General features: G+C 32.1%; 1 protein-coding gene across 4 annotated transcripts in view; it reads right to left on the minus strand.

The window, feature by feature from the left end:
• Nucleotides 1–14,089, minus strand: part of KLHL1 (kelch like family member 1) — a 407,856-nt gene that overhangs the window by 254,576 nt on the left and 139,191 nt on the right. For all 4 annotated transcript variants that reach the window (NM_001286725.2, NM_020866.3, XM_017020678.3 and 1 more), the window contains one exon: nucleotides 6,136–6,272. In NM_001286725.2, the coding sequence (NP_001273654.1) occupies nucleotides 6,136–6,272 (137 nt within the window). The remainder of the gene's footprint in view (nucleotides 1–6,135; nucleotides 6,273–14,089) is intronic.

The following is a 14,089-nucleotide window of genomic DNA, read 5'->3' on the forward strand; positions in this document are numbered from 1 at the left end:
CTTCTAATTACAATAAAAATTCTGAAGAGAGTTTAAATGGTAAGCTCCAGGCTGATATACACTTTTTAATATTAAAGCAGGACATTAAACATCTCAGCCCCTATGTGTGTATATTTATTTCATTCAAATGTTTGGCAGTAAGCAGAAGCTATCTTAACATTTCTTAGCAGGTACAAAGACTTTAATTAACTTCAGTGGCACACAAACTTTTTCTACAAGGAAGTTAACACTTCAATATGATTAAAGGTCTGCCATTTGGCAGTTTAATTTCCTAACCCTCTTCTTAATATCACTACTAGATTGACAGCTTCCTTTATTTAAACCTTGTGCTTATCAGTTCTCTACAGGACCTGACACTTTGTTAGTAACTCTGCAATTCCATCTCCCATATTTGTTAGAACTCTATTTTCTTACACATCAATGAACACAGTGTATTTTCAAGTATGTCAGGATAGTAGAGACTATGTAAGAGATAAACTAGGAGGAAATTTCTATCAGTCTAAGAGCAACTTTAAAATATAGTGAACCTCAGTGCATCCTTTCCAAATATATTATAGTTTTTCTTTTCCTTTCAAAATGTGAGCATCCATTTTTGGCTGTGATTGAAATCCTAATGTGTGTGCAAGTGGATTCAAAATCAATATTTGCTGTTATCAAAAATTGTTTTGCTCCATTTTTAAATGAGAAAATACTAGCATATATATATTTATATATATATTTGATATATTTATATATATTTGATATATATATTTATATATATTTGATATATATTTATATATATATTTGATATTTATATATTTGATATATATTTATATATTTATTTGATATATATTTATATATATTTGATATATATTTATATATATTTATATATATTTGATATATATATTTATATATTTATTTGATATATATATTTTTATATATTTGATATATATATTTATATTTGATATATATATTTGATATATATGATATATATATTTATATATATTTGATATATATATTTATTATATATCTGATATATATATAAAACAAAAATGTTTAAACCAAAATAAGATAACAAAAAGTTGTATTTAGTGCTAAATTTGAAGACCCTTAAAGGTAAGGAACATGTATAATTCAGCATATTGTTTTTCAGACCCCATCATAAGGCATAGTACATAGTAGACATACATATAGTAAAACTTGAGAGTTGCTCAATGCATTCACAGGACAAAGACCATTAGGCATTAATATGCTTAAATTGTGAGGCACCATTGACACCTAAAGGGAACCAGCATTAGATGGGGAGAAACTATGAACCAAACCTGCACTGAACCACTATATAGCAATATGATAGTCAGTTTAAGCTACTCAAACTATTTTGAGAGCAAGACAGCGATGAGTCACTTCAAGGAACTCGTATCATAACTGATACCCTATAAAAGTACACAAATCTGGTAAAGACAATACCAGTCAATTTAAGTTCTGATGTTCCTATTCCAGTAACAGAGTCAACAGCTTACTATTGATCATTTCAAGGTTACTTTTACCTCATTGATTGGGCAGCATTAAGAAATTTAGAGGCTTTGAATATATAACTGTGTCCTCATATTAATTTAAAACAGACCAACACATTTGTGATCTATCTCAAGAAGATTTTACAAATGCTTATTTGAAATATGAAATATGTAATTTTCAAAAAATATTTTGGTGTTTCTGCTTTGCACATGCTTAGCATAGAAAACGTTCGTCTGTAAAATGTATAATGTTCAGGATGGAATATCTGAAGTTCTAGACATTGCTACTTCTCGAGGTGATTTGAACATAGAGTGATAAGATATTGTATGACCTAATTATCTTTTCATCTCTGACCTCATGCTTCTGAGGATGACGCATGCAATAACTCCTGAATAACTTTAACTTCACCCTGCCAAATCAAAGGCTTATTGAAGATTAAATGATAATATCTCAGTTTTCATTTCTATTCAAACTAATAGAAAAATGGAAGTACAGAATAGGAGCTGCATTAGGTACAGGAAAATGCTCACGAAACTGTTTTTAAGTCAATTTGACACATCTAAACTGAGAATGCCAACAAGTAGATAGTGATACATAGATTTTACTACTTTTAAAAACAAAAGTAAAGGGCTTTTGCATTATGCCCTGCTCCACATAATCCTGTGCGTTGCCAAATTTGTTTAAAGGCTTATGACATTTTAAGCTGTATTCTATCAGTTTTCTATACAGATGGTTCCTGACTTATCAGGATTTGACTTTCAATTTTTGGTCATTATGATGGCATGAAAGTGATATGCATTCGCTATATTCCTTGATTTACAACGAGGATAGCACATCCAGATAAATCCATTGTAAGCTAAGGAGCATCGACATATATAGTTTACATTGTGTCTTTTTCTAATATACACCGTGACCCTCTTCATGCCATAAGTGCTCAAATATTGTTAGCAGAATTATGATTTGATTTTGAAAAACTGATATACAATTTTATAAGTACTGATATACAATCTGAATTCCAACTAAGTATTTTCTTTACAACTTAAGATACCAATTATAAAACGGCACTACTTTATAACACACTCTCTTTACAAATGGCTAAGATCACAAGCAGATTTTCTAGTAGAAAACAGTGAAGAAAACCCAATTGAAAGTCTTAAAAGAAAAATTGAAATTGCTTATACTGCTAATTAAGAATTTAGAAAAATGACATGAACTTCATATTAAGTTATAATTATTTCTCTAACACCAGTGTAAATTTTCTTTCCATTTCTGTGCTGTTACAATGTGGGAAAAACTGAACTTATGTTGTCGTTTATTTTAAGTAAAGAAACTAACTTCATACCTTAAAAGTAGTCATCATTTTTTCACAACCTCATCATTATCCTAAATAGTTGCAAGAATTATTATTTTTTTAAATTCTTTTGTCACAAAGACATTACTGGGTTTTTACTCTGTTGTACATATTGCTAAGTATTAACCTTTACATATTTTTTTCTTTTAAGAAACTTCTTGTGAACTGTTATCACCATTGCTGTCTCTCAATGATACCAAGGCCATTCTTACCAGTTACCAAATAATAATAATAATAATAATAATGTAAGTCTACATGTTTGCTTTAGTTCTTACTGAATTTCTCTGAAAAACCTGATCTCATTGCTTCTCATCTAATTTTTTGGACTACAGGTAACAAATGTTGGATGAGTTCAACATGGAGAGTGTTTCCCATATCTTAATATGTACAATTTTTTACTATATAAAATTCTATAAAAGTTATTTTTTCAAAGATTATAAACTATAATCATTGAAGCTTATCTCAAACATTCATTCTAAGCCTTCTTTATCCATGTACTTTGTCCTTAATTTCTAACTTAATAAGATAAATTACCTACATCTGGTTCCTTCAAATCTTACACATTTTTCAGAGTTCATAAAATGTTATATGTTTAAATCATTTGAAAGCACTCTGACCTATCTCTATTAAACACATTGCTTCTACAGCTAATAATTAACTATCAATCATTGACATAGTTGATCCTCCTTAGTTTCACCAAAGCCTCTCAAACCTTAAAATTAAAAAAAAAAAATACATATTATCAAATGGCTGGACTTTTACATCTATTCCCACTCATTCATTTTTTTTCCTGTTTTCTGGAATATATTTATTTTTAGCTTTCTTTAAAGAAAAGTCTTAGATATCTGTCAGCTGGTGAGTTAGGTAGATAGTACAGTTACCTCCTATGCTTCCCTTTCTATACAACTGATCACTTGTTCTTTTCTATTGTTATAATTTGTTACATTGTATATGACAAAAAGCAAGATACTTGCCTTATGTCATGCCTGCAATTTTTCCAATAATACCTGATAAATATTTTCCTCATCTAACACATTTCTGTAAACTCACAACTAAAAATTTAAGGTATTGGAGCACAGGCCAAAGTGGCAGTGGCAGCTGAGAGGCATTTTTGTATCCTGTCCGCCCTCTACAAGCAGAGCCAAATCTGGGTCATTATTTCAGCAGGGAGCTTTGAAACACCTTCCAACTTTGTACAGCAGGATGCTGAGTATCTTTTGACCTAGTTTTGCACACAGGAAATGCAAGACTGCCAGACCATGGAGCCTGGAAGTGTTAGGTTGTTAGATCTCTGTCTTTTAGTTGCTGGAAGGATTCCTAAAATGTTAGCTTCATGATTCTTCCCTTTCCAGGAAACAATAACGTAATTATCCTGGCTACCTCTTGGCTCAGAGGTAAATATTCCTCCATATGACTGTTTCAGGTTGTATGCAAATTGAAATTGACCAAGATGGTCTTAAAATTTGCCTCAGTTTCACTAAACTTTGGATAGAATTCTTCCTGACTCTATGCTCACCCCTCTTTTTTCAGACTACTCATTAAAAAAAAAAAACATGGAATTGTAATTTTTTCTCTAATCCTTTGAGATGTTAAGTCTTTTTAAAAACCTCTTGCTAGTTTGCTAGTTTTACAACCCGTAACTTTTTTTTTTCCCCCCAAAGGCCTGAACATTGTATCTTTGAAATGTAAACATCAAGGGAAATAGCTCCCCTATGCCCCAGTTTCTGGAGGAGAGTAGAAGACTAACTTGGGTGAACAAATTGCTTCAAGTTGTAAAACTATCCTCTCGCAAAGATGAGAAAGTTTACTTTTTCTTTAGTAAAACCAATTAACAAACACAGATTGGCCTGTGCTCTCCCTCTGACCTTGGCACTTAAAAATCCTCCCTTCCTTCGTTTCAGTAAACTTCAGACTGAGTTTGGGTCTCTCTCCTAATACAATATCCTTGAATAAAGTCTTCTTTACCTGTATAATTTTGTCTAGAACGATTTTCTCTTTATCAAAATATTACTTTAAAACTATTAAGACCAAAAAATGTCTAAGTATTTTCCTCACATTGCTGCTTTGAGATTAAGCAGTCAGAGCATGTGTACTTTTTTTTTTTTTTTTTTCAGGAAGCTTTTTTTACTGAGTGTTATCTTAGTGTTAGCAAATCCTTCTTCAATATAAGTGAAATCCTAAAAGAGGACAGAGTCCTCCTAGTTCCCAGGTGTTTGGACTCCAGTGGCTGATCTTCACAATGTCACCTCTTGTTTTTCTGTTAGCAGAAATGCTGTAAAAAATAAAACTCCTTAAACTACGTTCCTGCTGCTTTGATAACTAGGCCAGAACCTGCCTTTCTTCGTCTCACACCAGTATGAAGAATTTAGGTAAAATGAACCACATTCCATTTATAAGAAATAATACATAAAACAAACCATCAATATATACTGTCTGCCTTGGTTTCTTTCACAAGATTTTATGTCCTCCTCTTCTTGCTAAATGTAAATAGTTATTAAAAAGTGTAAACCCTGATAATGCTCTGTGTGTTGTATGCCTTCTAACTCTCTTAACATTTGGCATTATATCACATTTATGTCCTCATCTACATCTTCTGTTCATTTGGTCTGTGAGCTTCATGAGGGCAATACACAGATTTATTAGTTTATTCTCTACAAATACAATTAATACTACAATTAATACTTGTATATTGAGTAACATTCAACAAATGTTTGCTATAATGGCAAAATTATTTGAATGCACTAATAACACGATACAAAGATTAATAGAAAATGTCAACATAGTAGATCAGAAAAAAAAACTTGAAAAATGTCATTTGCACAACTCTAAGTACCTTTATTGTCCATTTCAAATGATTTGTCAAGTCCACATTAACTATTCCGTGAAAATTTTTACGTTAAAGTAACACATTCCAGGGAAAAAGTTATTTGAACCCATCATTTCCAAAAGAAAAGACAATTAGAATCTCTTTTCTTTCCTAAGCAAACATGGACATAAACAAATTATTATTCAATAATTTGTATCCACCCTGTTTCTCTCCCAGGTTCTACTATTTACATATTTATTTAAGCCAGTTTAAATCATTTGTGGAAGAACGAAATGTATATGTATACATATATACATTTGTAATTTCAGTGACAACAAAAAGTCTGATTTTTGATCTACTAGTTTTCAACTGAAAAGATACAGAATACAGAATTTTTTTTAAAAAAGCGTTAAATCCTGTACTTAAAGGAAATGAGCTAAAATTTATAAGACATCAGAATGATGTTATAATTATTTTGCCATACCTGTATATGCAAATTGGACAAGGTCCCAGAGAGCATTGGGGTCTATGCCTTCCATTTTGATCTCCTCTTGCTTGGCTTCACAAACATCACTTGTAAACATGGCCGCAAAATAGTCGGAGACTGAACTCAGAACAAGCCTGAAAGAGTCACAGGTTCTAATTTAGGTCGTGAATGTAAGGCAGAAAATCACTGTGTCAACCAGAATGCAACACAGAGCACAAAATCAATCTATTGATCAATCAATTAATGCATTTTATTTATTGCCTCATGAGTTGTACTTTACAAAACTGATTCAAAAACTCTTCCCCTAACTTTTCGTAATAGAGCATTCTCATACATTTTCTTCTATCACTTGAACGATATTTTGTCTTTCACATTTAGGGCTTCAGGCCTCTTAAATAATATATTATAGTTTTCTTTATGTAATGACCCACCTTTCACCATGCTAACTTTCCCCCCTAAACTATCGTGAATTTGAACGCATAACATATATTGATCTGTTGGTGAGATTTCTATTATGTTTTATTTGCCTGTTCTTGTGCCAATAAAATAGTATTTTTAAATTAGAAATATGTCTTTATAACCAATAAGGCAAATCCCTTTCTTTAATATTTTAAATTTAACTATTAGTAACATATTATTCTTTCATAAGTAGAGTTTTAGGCTTTCAAGTCTTAAGTAACTTTTTAAGTTTTAAAAATAATTCCTAAAGCATTTTGATTTAAAAATGCATTAATTTTTTATTTTATTTGGGGAGACTTGACATAATTTTCATATAAATTCATTCCATCTAAAAGTATAAAATATCTATCCCTATATTCAGGATACTTTGTTTCCTTTTCAATTTTAAAGTTTTCCTGAAAATTGCTATATAGATTCTTGGTTGATTCTTATATTGTTACAATTTTGTTGGCTTTGTGTATACTATCTACTTTTTATTCTATTTTTGTTGGTTTGTTTTTCTGTTAGAATTTATTAATTGAGAAATTCATAGATTCATCCTTTATCTGGTACATCTGGTGAATTATGTTTGCTAGTTCTTTTGATTCTGCTATTTCTTTTTACATTTAGGTAGATGACTACATCATCTGCAAGTTATATTCTTTTGACTTATTCCTGTTCATTCTGTATAACTCCTCTTCTTTCTCTTTCCTTACAGCTGTGTTAAACAGTTCCTCTGTCACAGAGGCATTTTGTGTTTTTTTCTATATTAAGAGGAATGCATCTAAAGTTTCTCCCTTCAGTATGATGCCTGCTGAATATACTTGGAATATAAGCTTTACTAAGTCAGATAAACCTCTTTAATTTCTAATTTTGCAAACAATTTTTATATTTGTGTATTAAAATTTATAATGTTGTTAATGATATTTTAGAATGAAAAAAATTATGATATTTTCAAGTATAATTATGAGATGAATAAATCTCTAATTTTATTTTCTTGTATTTTCCTGATCTGATTTTTAATCAAGGCTATAGTAGCCTCATAATATGAGCTGGGAGCTACAACTCTTTAATTTTGTGTAACAACTTTTAGAATAAAGCAATTACTTTTTTCTTTAAGATCTTTCAGAAATTATGTGTAAAACCATTTACATTCGGCTATTTTGAAGAAGACTTTCCTAATATCATTTCCATTATTTACTAAGTCACAAGGCTTATTCAAGTTATTTCTTCATATATTCACTTTTGCATCTTAAATTTTCCAAAGTTTTTTTCACTTTACTTAGAGCCTAACATTTATTTGTTTGTTTATAATTTCAGCATTTTTTTTAGAGACAGTATCTCTTTCTGTTGTCTAGGATGTTGTGCAGTGGCATGATCATAGCTCATTGCAGCCTTGAACCCCAGGGCTCAAAGTGATCTGCCTTCCTCAGCCTCCTGTGTAGCTGGGACAGCATGCACAACCACCTCACCTAGCATGGGTTCTAAAATGTCTAATTTATGTTTTTCACAAAATTACATTTGGGTTTAATTGTACCAATTTATATTTGTTTTTAATTTACTCTATTTGTTCTTCGGATTAATCTTTGTACAGTAATTATTTCATATCATTCATTATATTGACTACATGTTTTTCACATGTGTGTATGCACACATATGTGTGTTTAAAGTGGTTACTCTACGGCAGCAACCAGAATTTTGTTTTCCATAAACAGCCAAATAGTAAATATTTTACATGTTGAAAATTCTACAGTCTTTGTTGCATATTCTCCTTAAAAACAAACTCAATCAATTGAAAATTCTAAAATTAATTTTAGCTTATGGTCTACACAAAAACAAGCTGCACAGCAGATGTGGCCCCTGCACAGATATTTGCTAAATTTGTCTAGAGATCACATTAACCAATAACACTCTACCTTCATGGATATTGTAAGAAATTTGCAACATAAAACACCCCTTCTGCTCAGTCAAAAATCTAAAAGAAGAACATAAAATATATTTAAATTTACTGCCTTTTTCACAATTTTTGATGCTCTCCATTCATTTTTGAAGTCGGCTTTAAGCTGGTATCAATATTGGAAGAAATATCTTTAGTTATTTCTTGTACTGTAAGTCTGATGGCAAAAAATAAAAAAACATACACAGCTTTCATTTATCTGAAGACTTATTTAGTTGCATGTCTAGTATCTTTTAAAAGTTATTTACACATGACATAGAATTCTAGGGTGATTTTTTTTGAACTTGAAATATACAATTTCATTATCAATTAGGCACCACTGTTGGAATTTTTTTGTCAGTTTGTTTGTTTTTTTAAAAATAGGCTCTTGCTTTGTCACCCAGGCTGGAGTCCAGTGGCACAATCATAGCTCACTGGCACCTCAAACTCCTGGGCCCAAGCAATTCTTCTGCCTCTACCTCTCAAACAGCTAGGATCACAAGTATATGCTACCATGCCTAGCTAGTTTTTGAATTTTTTGTAGACAGCATCTTGCTATATTGACCAGGCTGGTCTGGAGCTACTGGCCTTGAGTAATCCTCCTGCCTTAGCCTACAAAAGTATTGGGGTTATGGGCATGAGACACTGCACCCAGACCATCTTGTTTGTTATAGAAAGCTAGCTTTCATTCTTACAATTGTTTTTCTGATGTAATATGTCCTTTATTTTTGTTTTTAACTTTTTTCTCTTGATCTTAGGGTTTTAGTTATTTAGCTGTAAGTGGGACTTAATATTTACTCAGCATATGTTTTTCTGAGCTTCCTGGAGCAGTGCATGGATCCTTTTAAATCAAATTTTGAAAATTATCTGCAAATAATTACTCATATTTTCACCAAATTAACTCTCTGATACATTCTAGGACTCAGATTGCATATATGGTTCAACAACTGAGAATGCTACATAGACTGTTCAATCTTAATTCATTTTACACTCAATTTTTGTTTTCCTCTCTGCTTTACTTTAATTTCTAATCACTTGAATTTTCTCAAATGTCTTTATATTCCTGATTGCTTTATTCATTGTTATCTATCTTCTCCTATAAATATTTTGAATTATTTATGATAGTTACTTTTCTCCCTTTTCTAATACTTTAAACAACTGGGTCATCTCTTGGTCAATTTCCATTGACTGATTTTTGTTTGAACCATCAATAACATTCTCCTGCATTTTCTGTCTACAGTAAAATTTGATTACATAACAGATACTATACTACCCCCACAAAAAAAAATACAGGCTAAGAAGGGAGCTGGCCTTTAGTTCTTAGGCATTGTTATTTGTTCTCTGTTTTGGTTTGGTTTGGTTGTTATTGGTATATTCACAGCTTTTTGATGGCTTTAAAAATAAAATACAATTATTTGGTTTATCTGATGGAAAATGGAATTACAAATACAAGCATGCCTTATTTTATTGCATTTCACTTTACTGTGCTTTGCAGATACTGCAGTTTTTTAAAAATAATTGAAGGCTTATAGCAACTCATTATCTAGCAATTCCATCAAAACCAGTTTTCCAACAGCATGGGCTCACTTCATGTATCTTGGTCACATTTTGGTAATTCTGGCAATATTTCAAATATTTTATTGTTATGTCTGTTACAGTAATTTGTGAGCAGTGATCTTTGATGTTACAATTGTTCTTGTTTGGCGGTGTCATAAACTATACCTATATCAGACAATAAACTCAGTAAGTATAGTTCTGACTGCTTCACTAACTGGCCACCCCCTCATTTCTCCCCTTCTCCATGGGTCTCCCTGTTCCCTGAGACACAATATTAAAACTAGGCCTACTAATAACCCTGCAATGCCCTCTAAGTGTCCAAATGAATGGAAGTGTTGCATGTCTCTCACTTTAAATCAAAAGCTAGAAATGATTAAGTTTAGCGAGGGAGACATGTAGAAAGTGGAATGAGAACAAAAGCTAGGCCTTTTTTGCCAAACACTTAGGCAAGTTGTGAATGCAAAGGAAAAAGTCTTGAAGTAAATTAAAAGTGCTACTCTAGTGAACACTCAAATAATAAGAAAGCACAACAGACTTATTTCTGAAATGGAGAAAGTGAGTGGTCTGGGCAGAAGATGAAACCTGCCACAACACTTCCTTGAGCCAAAGCCTAATCCAGAGTAAGGCCCTAACTCTCTTCAATTTCATGAAGGCTGAGAGAGGTGACGAAACTGCAGAAGAAAAGTACAAAGTTGGCAGAAGTTAGTTTATGAAGTTTAGGGAAAGAAGTCTTCTCCATAACATAAAAGTGCAAAGTGAAGCAGCAAGTGGGTTGGTGCAAAAGTTATTATGGTTTTTGCCATTACTTTTAATGTCAAAAACATCAATTAATTTTGTTCCAACCTAACAGAAGCTGCAGCTTCTGTGATCATTGATGAAAGTGGCTACACTAAACAATAAATTTTCAGTGTTGACCATATATATAAAGAAGATGTCATCTAGGATTTTCATAGTTAGAGAGAAGTCAATGACTGGCTTCTAAGCTTCAAAGGACAGGCTAACTCTCTTTTTAGGGACTAATGCACCAGTGAGTTTAAATAGAAGCCAATTCTCATTACCATTCTGAAAATCCTAGGGCTCTTAAGAATTACGCTAATTCTACTCAGCCAGTGCTTTAGGAATGGAACTATAAAGCCTGGACGACAGCACATCGTTTGCAGAATGGCTTACTGAGTATTTTATATCCACAGTTGAGACTTACTACTCATTGACAATGTTCCTGGTTGCTCAAGAGCTCTGACAGAGATGTACAAGGAGATTAATGTTGTCTTTAGGCCTGCTAACACATCCATTGTACAGCTCATTAAGAAATAATTTTGACTTTCAAGTCATATTATTTTTAAAAAGTATATTTCATTTCTTTTCTTTTTTCCTTTTTATTTGTACAGATTTTTGCATACACGTGCAATTTTGTTACATGTATAGATTGTGTAATGGTCAATACAGGGTTTTTAGGGTATCCATCATCTAAATAATGTACATTGTACCCATTAATCATTTTTTCACCTTCCTTCTCCTTCCCACCTCCTCACTCTTCTGGATCTCCATTATCTATTATTCAACTCTCTATGTCCATATAATCACAGCTTTTAGCAACTACTTATGAGTGAAGACATATGACATTTGTCTTTCTGTGCCTGGCTTGTTTCACTTAAGAAAATGACCTCTAAGTCCATCCATGTGACCATGAATGACATGATTTCATTTTTTTAATGGCTGAATAGTATTCCATGTGTATCTATATCATATTTTATTTATCCACTCATCAATTGATGAACAATTAGGTTGATTCCATATATCTGATATTGTGAATAGTGGTGCAATAAATATACAAGCACAGGTTTTTTGATATATTGATTTTGTTTCCTTTGGACAGACACTCAGTAGCTGGATTGCTGGACTGAATGGTAGTTTTATTTTTAGTTCTTTGAAAAATAAGTCTCCAGATGCTGTAAATAGTGATTCCTTTGAGGCATCTGGCAAAGTAAATTTAAAACTTTCTGGAAAATTTCACTCTCCTACATACCATTAAGTACATTCATAAGTCATGGGAGGAAGTAAAAATAACAACTAGTTTGGAAAAAGAGAAGATTCCAACCCTCATATATGACTTTGAAGGGTTTAAGACATCAGTGGAGGAAGTAACCTTACTAGAAGTAACCTCTAACCAAAGAATTAGAATTAGAAGTGGAATCTGAAGATGTAACTGAATTGCCGCAATGTCATGATCAAATTTGAATGGATGAAGAGTTGCTTCTAATAGATGAGCAAAGAAAATGATTCTTGAGATGGTGTCTACTCCTGGTGAAAATTCTGTGAAGATCATTGAAATGACAAGAAAGGATTTAGAATATTACACAACCTGGTGGGGCGTTGTGGCTCACGCCTGAAATCTAAACTTTTTGGGAGGTGGCTGGTGGATCACTTGAGGCCAGGAGTTCAAGATCAGCCTGGCCAAGATGGCAAAACCCCGTCTCTACTAAAAATACAAAAATTAGATGGGCGTGGTGGCGCGTGCCTGTAATCCCAGCTACTCAGGTGGCTGAGGCAGGAGAATTGCTTGAACCTGGGAAGCGGAGATTGCAATGAGCCAAGATCGCACCACTGTGCCCCAGCCTGTGGCCACAAAGCAAGATGCTGAATCAAAAAAAAAAAAAAAGAAATAAAAAAGAATATTACACAAACTTAATTGACAGAGCAGCAGTAGGGTTGAAGAGAAAATTGATTCCAATTTTGAAAGAAGTTATACCGTGGGTAGAATGCTATCAAACAGCATCCCATGCTATATGTATATAAAAAAATTGTGAAAGGAGAATCAATTGTTGCAATGTATTTCACTATCATCCTATTTTAAGAATGGCCACAGATACTCCAGCCTTCTGCAACCACCACCCTGATCAATCAGAAGCCATCAACAGCGAGTTAAGACCCATCACTAGCAAAAAGATTAACACTCCCAGAAGGCTCAGATGATTGTTAGCATTTTTTAGCAATAAAGCATTTTTTAAATAACTATGTACACATACATACATGATGAAGTAGTGCTACTGCACACTTATTAGACCTATGGTATCATGTAAATAGAACTGATATATTTGCTAAGAAACAAATATAAACAAATATATATATAAATATACATATATAATATATATTTTGGTGACTTGCTTAATTGCGATAGTCACTTCATTATGGTAGTCTAGAATCCAACCTGCAATATCTTCAGGGTGTGCCTGTACAGAAAGGGAGAAGACTTAAAAAAAAATCAAACCTATGAAATTGAAGGTATTATGGGTTGAAATTTAAAAAAAAAAAAGAAATTGAAGGTATTAATATAAATTATTTGTTTTAAACATAAAATATATGAATTCTTATTTGTGTTTGTGCATATGTATGTATGTGTGCATGTCTGTCAAAGACTCCTTAGAAAAAGGACAGACTGCAGAATGGAGCAGGGTAAGCATAAAATCAGCCTGGAATACCTTTTGTTGCAGAGAGTAAAGAAATGCTCATCATTTTTTATGGCTGCATAGTATTCCATGGTGTATATGCGCCACATTTTCTTAATCGAGCCTATCATTGTTGGACATTTGAAACCTGCACGTTTTGCACATGTACCCTAAAACTTAAAGTATAATAATAAAAAAAAGAAGTGCTCAAAACAATTGAGGATATGTCAAAAGAATTATAGTGATGCTTACATCTATAAGCAAAACAACAGTAAAATTTGAATGCACGTTTTTCCTAAGAATACTATAAGAGAAAAGAAAGGAAGTTAGATCAATACAGGAAATTATTATCTAAAACTTTTTAGGAGATTTTTTTTCATTTATTTATTTTGAAGTTTTATCTGCTATGTATTTTATCTTACATATAAGGTAAGTGGAAGGACATGGTATAATTTAACTTAAACACAAAATACATTCTTTTAACTGGAAAACATGACTTAACCATGTAATTCATGCATTTAAGAAATGCCTTATAAGATTCATGGCTTTAAATATTTTATTAATATTAATGCTG

Source organism: Homo sapiens, chromosome 13, assembly GCF_000001405.40.
Source record: "Homo sapiens chromosome 13, GRCh38.p14 Primary Assembly".
Lineage (NCBI taxonomy): Eukaryota > Metazoa > Chordata > Mammalia > Primates > Hominidae > Homo > Homo sapiens.